Below are 18723 nucleotides of genomic sequence, written 5' to 3'. Positions count from 1 at the left end.
GATCATGACTTTATTTTTGAAACAACATTCTGCAAAGCCAACAAGTGCTTTGCTCAATACAAATTTAATGAACTGAATCCTCAAATTTATAGAGCACATATGCTATTGAAATAATCAGGAAAGTGATTTTTTTCCTCAGGCTGTTTTTGGACATATTAAAATATTAAACTTTTAATAAATTCATTAGTAAAATTTTTAGAATAGCAATACACTGGGAGAATAGCTTAACCCAATCAGAACTTGAAATTGGAGGGCAAAGAAAGTTGGGAAACTTGAAATCATATGAATCAGAGACTATATTGAACACCCACCCTTCCTACCTTTCTTTGAGCTCATTCACTAATCAGTCCTGCAATGCTATTAGTAAGTCCATGAGTAATGGTCATGGGTAGAATATAAGTCTTACTTGAGCCAAATGGATCTTCTTCATTGCTTGGAATCCCCGTACATGTGCCTTTTCAAACCGTTCCATTCTCTCTTGTGCTGCCTGTTTTTGTAGTTCTTCCAATCGTTTAGCTTCCTCTTCAGCAGCCAAACGAGCATCTGGCTAGCAGTCAATCAAAAATTGTAGGCAAAATTTTTAAAGTGTGAGACAAGCAGTAACTAAAAAACAAAACAACCTTAAAATCATGTTTTCTACATATATAAAATATAAGAAGAGTTATATTTTAAAATGTCCACAATTATCAACGGCATGTACCTATGAAAGGGATCAAATTGTTAGTATAAAGCTTTACGAGTTACTCATTTTAAACCAGATGAGGTTATACTCCTCCAAACACATTTATCCATCACTTTGTAAGCAAAGAAATCTCTTGCTGGGCGTGGTGGCGCATGCCTGTAATTCCAGCACTTTGGGAGGCCGAGGTGGGTGGATCACCTGAGGTCAGCCTGTCCAACACGGTGAAACTCTGTCTTTACTAAAAATATAAAAATTAGCCAGGCATGGTGGCGGGCACCTATAATCCCAGCTACTCGTGAGGCTGAGACAGGAAAATCACTTGAGCCCGGGAGGCGGAAGTTCCAGTAAACTAAGACTGTGCCACTGCACTCCAGCCTGGGTGACAGAACAAGACTCCATCTCAAAAATAAAAAAAAGGAAACTTCATTAAAATGACAGTATTGAAAGGTAAATACCCACAAATCTCATTAACATAAATAACACAAAAAAGAGAAAGAGGCACAGAGTCTGGATTTACTTTTTTTTTTAAAGAGATGGGTCTTGCTATGTTGACCAGGCTGGTCTCAAGCAATCCTCCCATCTCGGCCTCCCAAAGCGCTGAGATTACAGGCGTAAGCTACCACATCCAGCCTGGATTTACTTTTATTATCTGAACATTCACTTTCAAGTATAGGTAAATATTCTAAATGTAACCAGCAGTAAAAGTCTTTTTCTGTCTTTTGTATGTTGAAATTCTGCCAGCCAGTTGAAACAATTAATGATGACCAAAAAAGCTGTTAACTTCAAGTGTAAGATTATTAAAAATTCTCACATGGTGAGATAAATAGGTAGAGAGATTGACAGTTATTAAATTAACAAAGAGTACACTGGCCAAACAAATTTATCAAGAATATAACCGCTTTGAGCCACTAAATATTCATGCAAAACTAAATAACATCAGGTAAGACAAAAAAAGTTAGATTAAATCAAAATTATAATCTGTAGGAGTATTTAGTATATCAATATGTATGATATTAAATAATATAACCTCTGAGAACAATATTTCAATCCATTTCAGCCATGAGGTTTTCAAGAAAAAAGTTGTTTATGAATTCTTCACATCTCTTGAAGATAAATTAAAAGCAGTATGTCAATTTTGGTAAACCAAAATTTTAAAGAAAGGAAAAATTTCAAAATAGCATACAACATGAATGATAAATATCAGTCCAGATATAAAAAAGCATATAAAGGATATGAATAAAGGGTTAGAGAAAAAGTTAGGGACCACAAACAAATTTTGTTCTTATTGATCATACTTCAAAACAAGATTTATAATACAGCTTTAGGAAGACAATCCCCTATAGATTTGTGTCAATGCAATTAAAAACATAACCATAAATCTGGTTGAAATAATGTTAGATTCTATTTTCAGTATGTGAAGATCAAAGATATATGAATGATAAATGCTATTATTAAATACATTTCTGAATCTTGTACATCAGATATTTGGACAGAAATCTTTTTAGATATAATAGAGCATGGAAAATTGATGATGAATTTAACTGATTCAGCTTCACTTTTCTGCAGACATTTCTGGGTCTCACCACAAACAATACAGTTAATCTGACTGAATATTTTCAGAATGCAAAGTTCATTTGAAAAAAATGCTACGTAACTGTCACTGACAAAGAATAGACATGATGAAGCCCATGAATATGTAATGTAGGACTTTTAAGCGTATGATGTTTTGTTCAGTTGTGTGTAGAGGTAGCGAATGTAGCAAAACAAAATGTAGAGAATTACTGGCTGTAAGTAGGACTACAGCAGGCCACTTTCATAAATCTTCTTCAGCCAAAGATATATATTATGACATATAAAAGATTTTGGAATTACTTTATCAGGATATTAAAAACACACACACACACAATAGCAGCTCTTATGTGCTAAAAAGGCTGACTGAACAAATGAAAGTTTATTTGCAGAAAGCTGCTAAAGAAAAATACCCAAACATATATGCCAAGCGTGCAAATATTTTTTATATGATACCTGCTGTAAAGATCATATCGTACTCCTCCAGGGAAGATGCTAAAATTATTGTGCATGTGATATAAGTTGAGTGCAGATGAAAATTCAGAGGTAATTTTATCTTGAAAGCCAAGCACATTGGTCATCACATTTTAAATCCAAAGTTTAAGGACAGACTTTTCCTAAGTGATACAGTAAAGCAGCAAATAAAAGAAAATATTCGAATAAAAATGTGTTCAGTAATAAACCCATTTCTGAAAATATTCAGAAATCATATCTTCATTCAGTACACAAAGCTTTAGTTTGTGGGAATACTTTCATAAAACTGTTAGAAACAAAATTTGTTTGTGGTCCCGAACTTTTTTCTAACCCTTTATCATTATAACTACTGATCTAATTTTTAAGTCCAAAAATTGAAAAGGAGGTAGGCCTTCTGGTTACTATCAAAAAAGAAAGCTTATGGATATTAATTTAATACCATCAGCAGCACCCTATGCTGACAGAGTTAGGTAAAAAAAAATTCATCATCAATCTTAGTTAAAAGGTAGCATCTTTTCAAATCACAAAAATGCAGTAAACAGTAAAGCAGTTAGCAACAAATTGAAGTTATTGTTCCTACATCATAATATCGAAACTGTAATAATACTTTACAATTTTAAATAAATCTCAGATTTACTCTTGCATCTTAGAAGTTCATTCTGTGATGATATTCATTTTAGTTCTTAACTGAATATTTTAATACCTGCTATTAAGCAGTCAACCAAAATGTGTATTTGTTGCATTCTAAATGCCACAGGAATGCTATAAAATTTATTTTCCTAGTAGAGAAATATATTCAACATGAAAAAAATTAAAACCCCCACTGACACAGAGAAATAGCAATTATAATAACAATATATCATTTGTTACTCTTAAGACTGGCAATAATTTTTAAAACATAATATTCAGTGCAGAAAAGGCTATGGTAAGGTGGTCATTCTCCTATGTTGCTGATGCTTTTAAAAAGCAATTTAATGATCTGTATCAAATGTTACACAGTTTGGAGCCAATACTTTCTCTTTCAGGAATTTATATATAATCAGAGATGTGGATAAAAACGTGCAAGATAATGCTTACATTACTTACAGAAGCAAAAAATAAAATAATGGTTAAATAAATGCTACCATGAAATATTAAGTGGCCACTAAAAATCATGTTTTGAAAAGTGTGTGTATATGTTTATATTTAAATAAAGGTTATAATGAATTTATTAAAACATTAACTATATTCCACTTTGGTGACAGAATTGGTGTTTTCCCAATAGTTTACACTTATATGTACAGTTCCAAATTTTCCACAAATAGCATGTAATATTTTATGATAAAAAAAGCTTTAAAATCTGCTATTTTAAAATAACCATTTAAATAGCCAACTAGTTTCTTTAATTCATATTAAACCATCATATGCCTGACATGAAAATTCAAAGCATTTAAAAGGTTTTGATTATTATTATCAATTGTCCAAATTTTGAAATCTGGGAACACCATACATATAACTAAGATATAATTCAATTCAATGCACACAGAAATAATAAAGCGAGGGCATGAAGAAACAATAAGTCAATCACCCGTTTTGTGTCTGTCTCTCTATTCACAAAAGTGTGAAGATGATGGTAGGTAGAACTATTGGTTTTGACTGCAGAAATTCTTTTTACTTCGATGTTCTGGAAAAGAGAACATAAAAAAATAGGTTAAAAGCATTAATTTTCACTTAAAGCTGAATCCAATGCAAAAAAAGTAATTTTGTATTTTAATGAGTTCTCCGCATCCAAAACATGCTAAATATCTGCTCATAATGAAATCAAATTTTTTGAGTTAAATTACTTCAAATTTTAATAAAAGTACCAGATTCATCAGTATTTCAAATCATCTTCAAGGTGTCGCTAACTAAATGTGTTTTATTCATCTCAATTTTTAAGTTATTTATAGAGAAATTTCATCTTTAAATCTCCTGAATATAGAAGGGCTTACAGGCCATATCAAATGAAATGAAAAGCACTTCATTATATTTATAAGACAACAACATGCACTACTATGTCCTCTTCCATATCTAATCACAAAAATTCTACTGTAGTTCACATTAGTCTTATTTTCTCAATGTTTAATGACGTATTTTGAATTTTGGTCCTGAAACACTTGCCAATATATTTAAATTACACTTACTCCAGAACAAAACAACTCTCAGAAGAATGAAAGTAAACTACCTTCCCCCTTCCCTTTCCTGTATTTTGTAGTAAAGGCAGATTCAGTCCATCACAACCTATCACATACTGATGTTAAATTAATTAACTAAACTGACAAAGAATATTAAGTGCCTACTATGTGTTAAACATTACACAAGGCACTGTGAACGACAACGAGAAGTAAAATAAAATAATGGCCCCTGGCTTCAAGGAGCTCACAGTAACAGTTCTAACTAGAAGTTCTAACGATTACACATAAATTAAATAATAAACCATGCATTTTACAGATAATTTGATGAAAAAAATATCCACAAAGAAATGCTAACACTTCTGCTGGATGTCTTCTGTATTATATCCCAGTAGTGAAAACTTAGCAAAGTCCCTCAACTTTTCTGTCCCTCGGCTTTCTCAAGAAAAGTGGGTTTATAGCTATCGCTATACCATATGATCATTGTGACAATTACTGTAAGAATCAATTAATGTATAAAAAGCACTTTTAATTTTTTTAAGGCCTGTTGACAAGGCCAGAGTACAGTGGCATTGTACTCTGCACTGTAACTCCTGAGCTCAAGCGATCCTTACGCTTCGGCCTACCATAGCTAGGACTACAAGCATGTACCACCATGCCTGGCTAATTCAATGACATCACAAATGCAACACAGGTTGGGAGGGAGAAAAGTTTAAATAAGAATAGGTTGAGAATTAACCAAAGTTTTAGCTATAACATATATGAGTGTGGAATGATGAGGAGGACTCAAGTGAACAGAAACAATATAAAGGACAAGAAGGGGCTGGGCGCGGTGGCTCATGCCTGTAATCTCAGCACTTTGGGAGGCCAAGGCAGGTGGATCACTTGAGGTCAGGAGTTTGAGACCAGCCTAGCCAACATGGTAAAACTCCATTTCTACTAAAAATACAAAAATTAGATGGGCATGGTAGCACACACCTGTAATCCCTGCTGCTAGGGAGGCTGAGGCAAGATAACTGCTTGAACCTAGGGGTCGGAGGTTGCAATGATGCAAAATGAGCCAAGATTGTGCCACTGCACTCCAACCTGGGCGACAGAGCAAGAATCTGTCTCAAAAAGAAAAAAAAAAAAGAAGGGGGGATTAAGAAAATCCAAGTAAAAATGTACAGTCTGATGTGAGCAGAATTATCTGAGTAGTTTTTAAGAACTTCTCGTGTCTTGGCCCCACACCAAACGAATTAAATCAGAATCCATGGAACAGAGCCCAGTATTAGCATTGTTAAAAAGCTGCGGCCAGGCGTTGTGGCTCACACCTGTAATCCTAGCACTTTGGGAGGCCAAGGCAGGCAGATCACTTGATGTCAGGAGTTTGAGACCAGCCTGACCAACATGGAGAAACCCCTTCTCTACTAAAAATCAAAAATTAGCCAGGCATGGTGGCACACACTTGTAATCCCAGCTACTTGGGAGGCTGAGGCAGGAGAATCGCTTGAACCCAGGAGGCAGAGGTTGCAGGGAGCCGAGACTGCACCACTGCCCTCCAGCCTGGGCGACAGAATAAGATTCTGTCTCAAAAAATAAAAAATAAAAAAAAAGCTGCACAGGTGATAAATGTACAGCCAAAGTTGAGAATTACCTAGACCAGTCAGAAGATAACTAATTGGCAAATACCTGGATATACATCCAGATATGTACAATAGAGGACCTTATTCAGGGTCTTATCATTTAGGTAAAGGATTAAACTGACCACTAATGAAAACATTAACTAGCATACATATACACATATACATATATATATTTGAGACAGGGTCTTGCTATGTTGCCCAGGCTGGTCTTGAACTCCTGGGCTCAAGGAATCCTCCCAACTCAGCCTCCTGAGTAGCTAGGATCAAAGGCAGGTGCCACCACACTCAGCTTTAACTAGTTAATATTAAAGTTCAGTAAGAAACTGAAGTCACAAAACAAAAATTCAGAGATGGTAGTACACATTAGAATGCTTCACTCTACGAAGAATCTTAGTAGACTTTAAATCAATGCCTTGAAAAAATAAACCATAGGCTTCTTGACAAGGAAGAACTCTGAAGAAAACAAGTCTCTAAAATGATGTAATTTGATATACAAATGGGATTCAGTTTACACATTTTAAAGTACCAGTACTTCCAGAGTAAAGGCAATTATGTATAGATTGAATTTGGAATCCTCCCAAAATTGGGATTTGAGATTTTGATTACTATGAATCCTTATTGATTATAACAGGATTTCCAGTGAATTGCACCTAAGTTTTTAGTGAAATCAGTCCTTAGCCTGGCAGAATTAGGATGATCTGTTAATAATTTAAAATCACTTAATTTACTTCCTGTGTTCTATCTTCCAGCCTTAGTTTTGCTCCACAGTAACTATTTCTAGCCTTATCTACCCAAGTACAGGACAAAACCAGCTTTCTACTCTGGAGTACCTGACACTGGCTCATGCAGCAATGGAAAAGAAGAAAAAAAATGCCAGGCACTGTGGCACATTCTTGTAGTCACAGCTACTCAGGAAGCGGAAGCAGGAGGATTGCTTTAGCCTGGGAGTTCAAGGCTGCAGTGAGCTATCATGGGGCTGGTGAAGAGCCACTGCACTCTAGCCTGGGCAACATAGTGAGATCCCGTCTCAAAAAAAAAAAAAGGTATAAGCAAGGGAAGAAGTAAAACAAAGCTCATTTTTCTCTTGCATCTGGTATAGATACATGAGAAGTCTTCATAGCATCTCAGGGTTTTCAATACAAACTTCATTCTTTAACAGACCTATGAAAAGATTATGGTTGTTTACATTCCTAGACTTTAATATATAAGTAGTTAACTTGAACAGTTAGCATGAACTCTGAAGTATATTCACGGGAAGCTAAGTGTCACAGTAAAAAGATCATGAGCTTTATAGAAATAGACCTTGACATAAACTCTGGTTATCGCACTTACCTATTAAAGGACTTTGGTTACGTTACTTAACTTCTGACCTTCAATTTTCTTCATTTGTTAAATGGAAATATCTAACATGCAGGGCTAATGTGATTAAATTAGATATGAATAAAAAAACCTGACATAAATAAAATCTTAGGTACACAAGAAGTATCAATTCTCTTCACCATGTAAATAGCTCTCTCAAAAAATAATATTTTCTTAAATTAAGGAAAGACCTTGGTTTGAGAAGACTAAACAGTCTAGGTTTATTTCCCCAGGATTTTCAGCATTTATATTTTTATCTGCTTGGAGAAACAGTGATACAGATGCATCTATATCCTGTGTATGTGACACAATATTCTTATATGGTGCATTTCCCTGGCCCCCAAATACCCCACAACCTAGCTTTTCCCAAACTAAAATCCTATCCCTCCCTTCTATGCCATAAATTCACAACCATCTCAAGACATTCAGAAACACTGCCTTATCCCAAACACCTTTATTGGCTTGGGTAATGTATTTTTCTAAAATAATGCCTTTTAGTGAAACAAGAATATAATCACCCAGATCTTAGTTTATAAGTACCACTTCTCCACTAAAAAGAATCAGGGGTCTTTGGAGATACCAGATACGGGACAGAGTAAATTAAGCCTAGGTCATTTGCTGGGGCACAGAGCAAGGAAATGCTCATGGAGTCACGGGGACGCAAGAAACAACTTCAAGTCTCCTGCTGACCAAATTTCAGATATTACGAACATCAGTGAGAAGAAAAAGAATGACTATAATTGACTATGTAATATTGAGTAAAAAACCCCCACAAGTTAACAGTGATAGTAACAAAAGAGAAAGGAAAAAAAAACCCATTTACCACCAATGGCATTGATTATTACCCCAACCCTTTACTCTGAAAACTGGCAGAGAGGAAAAACAAGGAATATATCCTGTTTTCCTAAAAGGAACGAGGCTGGGTGCAGTGGCTCACATCTGTAATCCTAGCACTTTGGGAGGCAGAGGTGGGTGGATCATCTGAGGTCAGGAGTTCGAGACCAGCCTGGCCAACATGGTGAAACCCCGTCTCTACTAAAAACAGAAAAATTAGCGGGGCATGGTGGCAGATGCCTATAATCCCAGCTACCTAGGAGGCTGAGGTGGGAGGATCGCTGGAACCCAGGAGGTAGAGGCTGCAGTGAGCCAAGATTGCACCACTGCACTCCAGCCTGGGTGACAGAGCAAGACTCTGCCTCAAAAGAAAAAAAGAACTAAATAGTTCATGCCCACTGATTAATTCATGCTTGTCAAAGCACTTACAGAGTTTTGTTTACTTTTTATAAATTTTTGACTTTGGCTTGTTATAAATACTAAGAATTAAGACAAAAATAATCAAAAGGCATCATGGATAATACATTGCCTGGCTTTTATCATGTCACTTTGTACCGAAGGAGTGACTGAAATACAACTTTTCCGTCTGAATTTTGTTGGATCAAATGTTACATGGTAGATGGCTCAACGTACAAGCAGGAAGGCTGACAAACTGAAAGGCCTAAGAAGTGAGTATCTGGTACTTATGCTTATACAGAATATACTTGTATGTACAACTATGTATTTCTGGGTTTACTTCTACTTCATTCTTCAGATAAAAATAACTAGGTAATTTTGACAATCATCCAAATAGCCATTTCAATAACTATAACAAGCTAATGTGGAGAACAAGTATTTTAAAAAATTTCTGCTTTAATTACATTTTTTTAAAAAAAATAAGCTTCAAATCACAAAAGCACACATTTTACTCCCATAAAAAATAGATCCTTATTATTTTATAATATTTTTTTCCTCTTTTCTTTTTTAAAATCACACCTGGATACTTTATAATCTTATGTAAATTTATTAACTTAACTGAAACTTATCTGTAAAATATTGACCATTTAAAATAAGCCAAATTCAGAGTGTGGGAAAGCCTAATGGACGAATAGTTTAGTTTTTTCCCCCAATAAATAAATAAAGGGTATTTTTTCAAAAGGCAGAATTATTAAAAGATTTTTCAAAACCAAAACCATTATAGTTTTCCAAACAACAAAATTTTTTTGACATCATTGAGGAAGGCTGAACAAATACTGGGTATTAAATAATATTGGAAACAATATTAGTATTATACTAAGAAAAAAGTCCTTATACATCAGAGATACATACTAAAGTATTTACAGGTGAAATGATATCTAGAATTATTTTAACATACTCCAGATATACTCCTGTACAAGTTTTTAATTGTACAAGAAAACTTGTACAATTAAGTTTAAGTGATAGTCATTCTGACCTCCACTGAATTATAATAGTAAAGAAGAATTATGACCTAGTTCCTCTTAATACTCAAACTCACCTCAAAAAGAGTTGGAGGAGGAGGTGGCAGACTTGTAATTTTGGCTGATCTCTCTTTTTCCACAAGCAGTGCTTCCTTTCGAGCTTTTATATGCCTTAAGAAACAAGAGATGTCATCAATTAATCTCTCAGTGATAATATTATAGTACAACAGGGTTAAAAATATGTAAGTCATAGGCTCAAGAAATCCTCTAGTCTGATTCCACAGGCTCAGTAAGCTTTACATGTGTAAAGAGTCTATACATATGTTAAGAAAATGTTTACAAATTGAGAGAGGCCTATCTAAAGACAGAAAGCTCTATGGTGGGGACCAACCCAAGAAACTTATAATGTTCTTTAGAGTGAAAAAAAAAAAAACAGAAATGTTGTTAAAAATGGCTGTTGCTAACTAGTAACAGGGCCCTTAATTTTTTACTTTGCTTCACTCACGTTTCCTGTGAATGGCCCTTTAATTTTTACAACATGCAAAAAATACTAATGACTTCCAGAGTCTACAACCTCTTTTAATGTTCTTAATCACATCAATTTTTATTTCATGTTTACATCGGAAACAGACATTGGTTGACATGCATTCTGAAGTAGCCATATATTTTTTCAGAAACTTAGTAACTGCTGCTAAACTCAACTCAAACTACAACTAGAAAAGAAAGCTCATTAGTTACTATGTTCACCTAAGCAAATCATTCCCTGTCCCCAACATTATTTTTAAATCAAGTTTAACAAATGCAATGAATATGCTACTATGTTTATTTAATATTTGCTTACACAGTATCCTATGTATCCTCTACTTTCAACCATGTTAGTTTCAGTTGAGATTATAGTAAAAATTATTACTTTACCAGGTTTTTTGTTTCAGTAATATTTCTTTTTGATTTTTCTGTACTTTCAAGGCTTCTTTATGCCTCAAATCTGCTTTTCTTTTCCTTTCTGCTGCCCGCTGTGCCAAAGCATCCAAATCAGGTTCCTAAAAATATATATTACTTAAAATGTCATGTTAAACAAGAATAATAGAAATGTGTCTCATATGATATCAGAAGTGATTTATCAATTTTGTCATCTTCTTTCTACATACTATAGCAGTGTTTCCCAGAGCATGACAACAGTACCACTGATGATATGCCATATTAGGGGGGACAAACACAAACATTTTAATGTAAAGTTAATGCAATCAATTAACATTATTACAAAAATATAAATAGGATATCGAACTACTTAGGACATGGTTAAAGTACGTAAAATATATAGTGATATGGGTAGTTTCCCAGTCAGGGCAAAAATTGTGAACATGGTATTCAAATAACAGAGGTTTGGGAAACATTGCATTAGGCACAAACTTAATGTGGCATGCATAAAACCACAAAAACCTGAGTCAGAACTTACGGCTATTACTAAAAACACAGACTAAAACCAAGGACCATGAAACAGATTGCCACAGTCTTAAGATATTTTCTTTCTCACTAGTTGTTATCAAAGATTTACCTTCTTTGTAACTAGCTTGTTTACTGTATGTGACTGATTCTGGGACTGTAGTATTTCCACATCATAAATCACAATAAATCAAAATAATGGGGCAGACTTACTGTGACTTTCTGAAAGTCATCAAAAAATGTTTGTTGGGGGGTTGAATTCACCCCACCAAATCTGTCAAAAAATGCCTGAGATGGACAACAACTTCTGATTCAGAAGATTATTATTTCCCCAGATAGAGGAGTACTGGAAGAGAATAATGCTAACTTGAACATCATAGGAAGACCAATTTTATTTGACATGGATTTTACTTGAAATAACTCTTAGTAAGAAATGAGCCTATTATTCACAAATTACATTAAATTTATAAAAAAGTTCAAGCTGCCCCAAAGAAATTCAATGCATGAAAATGTTATCAGAAAAGCATTCAACAACTATAATTTACTTTTTACTAATATTACTGCCACAACAGGGTAGTCAAATAAGATCTCACTCACATTTTCTTTGGCCTGTCGATGTCCCTCTCCCATACTTCTTAAACTTGCCAAATACAGTTTTTCCAAGTTCTGTATTTTCTGAGTTTGTGATTCTTCCCATTCTGCCCTTAGCTCCTCTGCCAAACGTGTAAATTGTTGATTTCTCCTCTGTTTTATGTCTTCTCTTATCTGTAAGGCGATATCTCTTTCTTGTTCTCGAACCTAAAGAATGCATATTTAACAGGTTATATGAAAGGAGGTTTACTTAAACTTTTTTGAAAAGCTATTTGGAAAGAGGAACTCAAATGAATTCTCTTAAGTCTGTCAACTCTCTTTGATACTCATCTTGTATTAGATAAAGACTATTTAAAGCAGAAAATCTGAGTGAATGTACAAAAAGTAAAAATCTCAAGACTATATCTAATGTCTCCAAACTGATAGCTTTTATTCAGCGCCCACTCCCAAAAGGACTGCCATTATCACTCTAATAACCTATAAAAGCTAAAGCGATAAATATGATTCAACAAAATCTATAGCCCAGAGTACAGACAGAGCCAGATGAGAACTCCATTTCTGTTGTACATCATTTCTGATTCTAGACAGAATGGTGCCTGAAACATACTTCACAAAAACTTACTTTAAAAACACTTCTAGAAAAGGGTTATCTGCAATTTCCTGATAAATTTGTTTCAGCAGCTAATAATCTTTCCAATTAGCATTCTTCAAAGTCATCTAAGCTTCCTGTTACCAATTACAGACCATTTTTAAAAAAGATAAAGAGCTATTTTCAATATTCGAGTCAAATAATACCTATCTTCCAACTCTTCTACAATGTACTTAACCATCTCAGCCTATTTTTCAAGTGTTCCAAAACTAGTTAATACCAAATAACCAGGGCTCTCGTATACCCAGAAGAGGTTTTTAAATACAACATTTAGAACACTCTAATGTAAAAGAATACAAGTAATTTGAGGAAGAAAGGAATTTAAAACTTTATTACAAATAAGTCATACCTGTAGCAATCTTAGTTTTCGCCTTCTTTCATAATCTTCCTTCAAAATGAAGGCTTCCTCATTAGGACTCAATCTCAGCTTGTGAGTATTCACGACTTTTCTCTTCATTTCTGTGTACTTTATGTATGACAGTTCTGAATTCAAAAAGGAAAATGTCTATAAAAATAATGTAACATTAAAATAGGGCAGCAAAGATTAGAATAATTTTGTTTGTTTTTTTTTGAGACAGAGTCTTGCTCTGTCACCCAGGCTGGAGGGCAGTGGTGCGATCTCAGCTTACTGTAACCTCTGCTTCCCGTGTTCAAGCGATTCTCATGCCTCAGCCTCCAGGGTAGCTGGGATTACAGGTGCATGCCACCACGCCCAGCTAACTTATGTATTTTTAGTAGAGATGGGGTTTCACCATGTTGGCCAGGCTGGTCTCGAACTCTTGGCCTCAAGTGATCCACCTACCTCAGCTTTCCAAAGTGCTGGGATTACAGGCATGAGCCACCATGCCTGCTCAGAAAATTTTTAAAATTCGTGTTAATACTTTTGATATTTAAAGGGTTATATACATGCAAGGAAAATTTGAGTAAACGAAGTCCAACTTATTTACAAATAGCAATTATAAATTCACACTTAGATCAGTGATACTCAGAAGGGTGGGAAAGTGGAAATGAAGACTGAATCAGAATTACTCAGAAAAGTTTTCTCCTGTTTATAGCAGATTGTCTACCTCGAGTATCTGGACCTGACTTATTCCTGGTTAGCATTTCCAGAGTTTACTGAGCTTAAATGTGAAAAAGCACAAAGACCTAAAAAGATGTTAGCATAGAATAAATGTTTTCAAAACTATAATCTGACACTTTAGAACCTTCATAACTTGTTCATAACTAGCAAGGTTGCTGTAATTTCAAGGGTTCTTTGTTCCTAGATTCAACTCCCAGTCTACTGCATATAACTTGATCACCAAGTGTCATTGTTACCTCATGAAATCACATCAATCCCATGTTCTATAATCTACAGTAAACAATTCTTCAATAATTATAGTGACGTAATTTTTATATGAATGACTTGCTCGGCTGTATCAAGCGTTTAGTTTTCCAGATCTATTCTTCTTTTTTTTGAGATGGAGTCTCGTTCTGTCGCCCAGGTTGGAGTGCAATGACACAATCTTGGCTTACCACAACCTCCGTCTCCTGAGTTCAAGTGATTCTCCTGCCTCAGCCTCCTGAGTAGCTGGGATTACAGGCATGCGCCATCACACCCAGCTAATTTTTGCATTTTTAGTAGAGACAGGGGTTCACCATGTTGGCCAGACTGGCCTCGAACTCCTGACCTCAAGTGATCCACCTGCCTCAGCCTCCCCAGTTGCTGGGATTAAAGGTGTGAGCCACCACGCCCGGCCCAGATCTATTCTTCTGTTGCTACCGTTCACACTGTGTTCTCTCTCTCCTCCCTAGATTATAACATGCTCCTATTTGGGGGAACGAGGCAAAAAGAAATGGAATAAATATAAGAATCTATAGTTCTATAATTTGAATACCCTCCTCAGGTAATTCTGATATTAACTGGCTCCTATTACTGCCATTTCCAAAAAATTAGACACTTTACATGAGTACATGAGCATTTTATCTGAGACAATCAACATTTCTCAGGTCTCCCTCACAATGACCAGGCAGACAATCTCAGTTACTGAATATTTACATCTTTCTAAAGCTGGCTTAAGCCCTCCTTCCTCTACGAAGCTGTCCTCTGATAATTCCTGTTGCAATTTCCCACTCCTGATTTGCCCAACTCTAATACATTATTACCTATACATTCAGATGGGGACTAATTTTATGTTGTCTTGGTATTACCTCCTGTAGTTTTTCATCAATTACAGTTTGCTCTTTCTAGTTAGATTCCTAACAATTGAAGGACAATGGCTATGGGTTTTTTAATAAAAATTTTAATATTCAATTAAATTTAATAAATAACTACCAGGTAATATTTCACATACTATGGATGCACAATGTTTTCAACCAGGTGTAAACAGAATAGGGGCTAGGAGACTGTGGGATTACCTAACAGGGACTAATACCTTTCCAGTGACTTCTCCATCAGAATGTAAGCTCATCAGGGCAGAATGGACTTATTCACCATTTTATGTCCATAGCCTGAAAACAGTGTCTCGCCCATAGGTAGTTACTTCAGTAAGTGTGTTGACTGAATGAATGACTCAATGAGTTAATTTATGTGAAGTGCTACAGAGCTATACACAATCATCACAACCTTCAATAAGACTCTAACACCAAAAAGGACTAACTGCTGGCATTAAAAAAATCTTTTAATGCATCCTACTCATCTAATATTCACACGGCTTTGGTAATGGTAACTAAAGTACTGATTATATTTTTCATGCTATACATGAAGAAACAAGGCCTCTTGGGTTAAAGGACTTTCCCTGAGTGACAACATCTAGTGGCGGAGCCAAGGGAAGAATCTGGTTTCCTTATTCCAAATGGCTCCTAACTTTCCAACACACAAAAATATGTGGAGTGGCGAAAATTTTATTTAAGCTGTTGTTTTTTGAGAGTGAGAATTTAAAAAACAGAAAATTTAACAAAGAAGAAAAAAGAACAAGATTAATCTTCACAATGTATCTTTATTATTTTGTCTGAAGGTCTAAGAAATTCCCTCATATTTAAATAATTAAGACTAATTCCTGATGAATCTCATAGACATAATATTGCTGAATTTTTAAAAAGCCAGACACAAAAAAGTACAACAAAATTGATTTATATAAAGTTCAAGAACAAGCAGAACTAATCCATGAGAGGTAAAAATAAAGTTACCTTACTGGAAGTTACTGACTCGGAGATGGCACAAAGAAGCTTGCTGGGGTACTGAAAATTTATATATTTTGATCTGTATGATGGTTTAGACAAGTGTATACATATGTAAAAATTCCTCAAATGGTATACCTAGATTTGTGTTTTATTCTTATACTTTAAGAGGAAAAAAATCCTAATATTTCAAATTTTAGGTATCCATTACTTCATCTCAGAGGATTATTGAAAAACATATAAACATTTATTATTTTTAAGCTCCTAAAATGCGATAGAATAACTGTTTCTTCTTGTGTATAATTTTTAAATTTTTTAAACTTTTTATTTGGAAATTTCAGGCTTAGAATTCCCATTTGCCCTTTCCCCAGCTTCTCCAAATGTCAACGTCTTGTACATAACCATGGTACAATGATCAAAATCTGAATATTAACACTGACACAATATTTTTTACTAATCTACAGGCAGTATTCAATTTTTGTCAATTATCACACTAATGTCTATTTTCTGGACCAGAAGCCAATCCAAGGATATAACACATTGCATTTGTTGCTGTGTAACTGTGTGTCATCTAAAAAGCAGACGCTAAGATGGGAGTAAACCTGCAAATATTTTATTAGGAGAAATGCGTGTGTGAGGGAAAATGGGAGGGAGCTGATAAAAGTTACAAGCGCCTCAGACTTCAGTGTAAGTCTAACACTGAATGGAGGGAAGTAACAATGGGTAGACCCCTCTTAGACAGCCATGCAGTATAAGAAATGTTCAGCAAGAACCCGTGGGGAGATTCTCAGGAACAGGCCTGCCACTGTCAGTGGCTAGGAGCAGCCCATGGGAAGCATGGCCTCAGTGCAAATGGAGATTTCAGAATGCAGGAGATTAAGATATGTGAGTTACATTCTCATGTCAAAGTTGTCATGTCCCCCTTAATCTGGGACAGTTTCTCAGTCTGTCTTTTCAAGACCCTGTCATTTTTGAAAATACTGGCCAAGTACTTTGTTGAATGTCCCTCCATTTAGATTTGTCTAATCTTATGTGATTAAACTGAGGTTATGTATTTTTGGCAAGAACACCACAGAATTGATTAGGCACCTTTTCAGTGCATTGTTATCAAGAGGTAAATGATGCTGAATTTTGGTCACTTGGTTAAGATGATGTCCACCAGGTTTCTCCTCTGTAGTTACTACTTTTCCTTTATAAATATCTCATGAAGACAGAGTAGAGGCTACAGAAATATGCTTTTCATCATACTTTTGCCCATTGACGTTAGTATCCATTGATGACTGTTGTCTGAAACAACTACTGTGGTGTTTACCAAATAGTATTTTCTATTTCCATTATTCCTTCTACAATTATCAATCGGAATCCTGCTGTAAGGAAGTTTTCCCTGCTGCCCCATTTACTTGTTTATTAATTATTTATTCTTAGTAATATGGATTTTTAAATTCTACATTTTATTACTATCCAATATTGAAGATTATACTACTTATCTTGCAAGATTTCGTCCTGAGGATTAAATGGCTCCTGGTACATAGTAATCACAAAATTAACACTAAACTTGGAAGATCTGGGTTCAAGACCCAACACTGCCACTTATTAGCAGGAAGATACTGGCCAAGTCACTGAAGTCACTTTGGTTTCGTTTTCTTAAACTGTATAAAGGGAATAATAATATCTACCCCAAAAGGTTTGTTCTGACGTCTATGTGACTTAGCGTGAAGTCTTCAAATACACTCTAAGTATTAAGGACTCAAAAGTTCACCATTGTTTTAAAAGTTGAGTTTGTGACAGGATTGAATAACTGTGAGATTAAGGTGGCAGACACCAAAAGAGAGCGTGCTCTTTGCATGAAACGATCCAGGCAAGGCTCTTTTAACAGCTACCAGGTGGCAGGCCATGTCCGCGGGTGATCTGGGGGAAGCGCCCCTCCCCCGACACGGAAGCTCCGCGACAGGGGAGGCTGCGTGGGAAGCTCGCGCGACCCGACCCCAGGAGAGCGCGCAAAGCCTCTCGCACTGAGTTACCGGGTCTGGTCCGGACACTCCTTACAGCCGCCAGCCCGACCGCGGGCAGGGCCCACGGCCTGCGGAGCCTGAGAAACGCGAGCCGTACCTGCGTTCGCAACAAGGCGCCTTCCTGGGATCCCATTCCTCCGGAATACAATCCCAGCTCTTGGGCCTCGGGGAGTCATGCTCCTACGGGGCGACTGGGAAGCCAGTGCATCCCTGACTCACCTGAGAACCCGGGGCCTGGACACAGTAACCGCAGCTCAGAGCAAGCCAGCCTGGTAAGCTCCTGCCCATCAGCTGCCCAGCAGCCGTTTCTGCGCCTGCGGGAGAGCCATCGCCGAGCCGCCGTCACTTCCGTCATTCAAACCGCCCGCCAATGGCCGGACCAAACCGCGGGAATAGGCCCTGTCCCGCCTTCCTCGGGGGCCGCCGGGAAGGCTGCGCGGTGTTAAAAACCCCGCGCCCCGCGCACGCGCACAGGCACGCGCCAGCCCCAGCCTGCCTAGGGGCCCATTATTTGTCACACCTGTCAGGCTTTGACGTTTTCCCGTATGGGCCGCGCTCGGTGGCTCGCGCCTGTAATCCCAGCACTTTGGGAGGCCAAGGCGGGAGGATCACTTGAGCCCAAGAGTTCGAGGTTATGTATTTTTGGTTATGAGTTCAAGACCAAGTCCTTTTAAAAACATGGTGAAACCTCATCTTTACAAAAAATACGACAACAGCAAAAATTAGCCGTGCGTGGTGGTGGGCGCCTGTAATCCCAG

General features: G+C 36.4%; 1 protein-coding gene across 19 annotated transcripts in view, besides 2 other annotated features; it reads right to left on the bottom strand.

The window, feature by feature from the left end:
- Positions 1–18277, bottom strand: part of CEP295 (centrosomal protein 295) — a 68677-nt gene extending 50400 nt beyond the window's left edge. For 17 of the 19 annotated variants that reach the window (XM_011543047.2, XM_005274366.2, XM_017018470.2 and 14 more), the window contains exons 1-7: positions 18185–18277; positions 13144–13277; positions 12152–12352; positions 11027–11151; positions 10189–10282; positions 4293–4388; positions 407–547 (exon numbers count right to left, since the gene is read on the bottom strand). In XM_011543047.2, the coding sequence (XP_011541349.1) occupies positions 407–547; positions 4293–4388; positions 10189–10282; positions 11027–11151; positions 12152–12352; positions 13144–13251 (765 nt within the window). In that variant the 5' untranslated portion in view covers positions 13252–13277; positions 18185–18277. Of the gene's footprint in view, positions 1–406; positions 548–4292; positions 4389–5853; positions 5879–10188; positions 10283–11026; positions 11152–12151; positions 12353–13143; positions 13278–18184 lie in introns of those variants that run through there. The other 2 variants (XM_017018474.3, XM_047427794.1) reach the window with 2 other exon arrangements.
- Positions 18154–18283: an enhancer, noted in NCBI's record as "active region_5397". NCBI's record gives its function as "activates an Ori minimal core promoter by ATAC-STARR-seq in GM12878 lymphoblastoid cells {active_cell/tissue: GM12878}" and the evidence as "EXISTENCE:reporter gene assay evidence [ECO:0000049][PMID:35858748]".
- Positions 18444–18513: a silencer, noted in NCBI's record as "silent region_3839". NCBI's record gives its function as "represses an Ori minimal core promoter by ATAC-STARR-seq in GM12878 lymphoblastoid cells {active_cell/tissue: GM12878}" and the evidence as "EXISTENCE:reporter gene assay evidence [ECO:0000049][PMID:35858748]".

This window comes from Homo sapiens, chromosome 11 (genome assembly GCF_000001405.40).
Source record: "Homo sapiens chromosome 11, GRCh38.p14 Primary Assembly".
Classification (NCBI taxonomy): domain Eukaryota; kingdom Metazoa; phylum Chordata; class Mammalia; order Primates; family Hominidae; genus Homo; species Homo sapiens.
The sequence above is the reverse complement of the archived record's forward strand: the minus strand, read 5'-3'. Positions and strand labels throughout refer to the sequence as shown.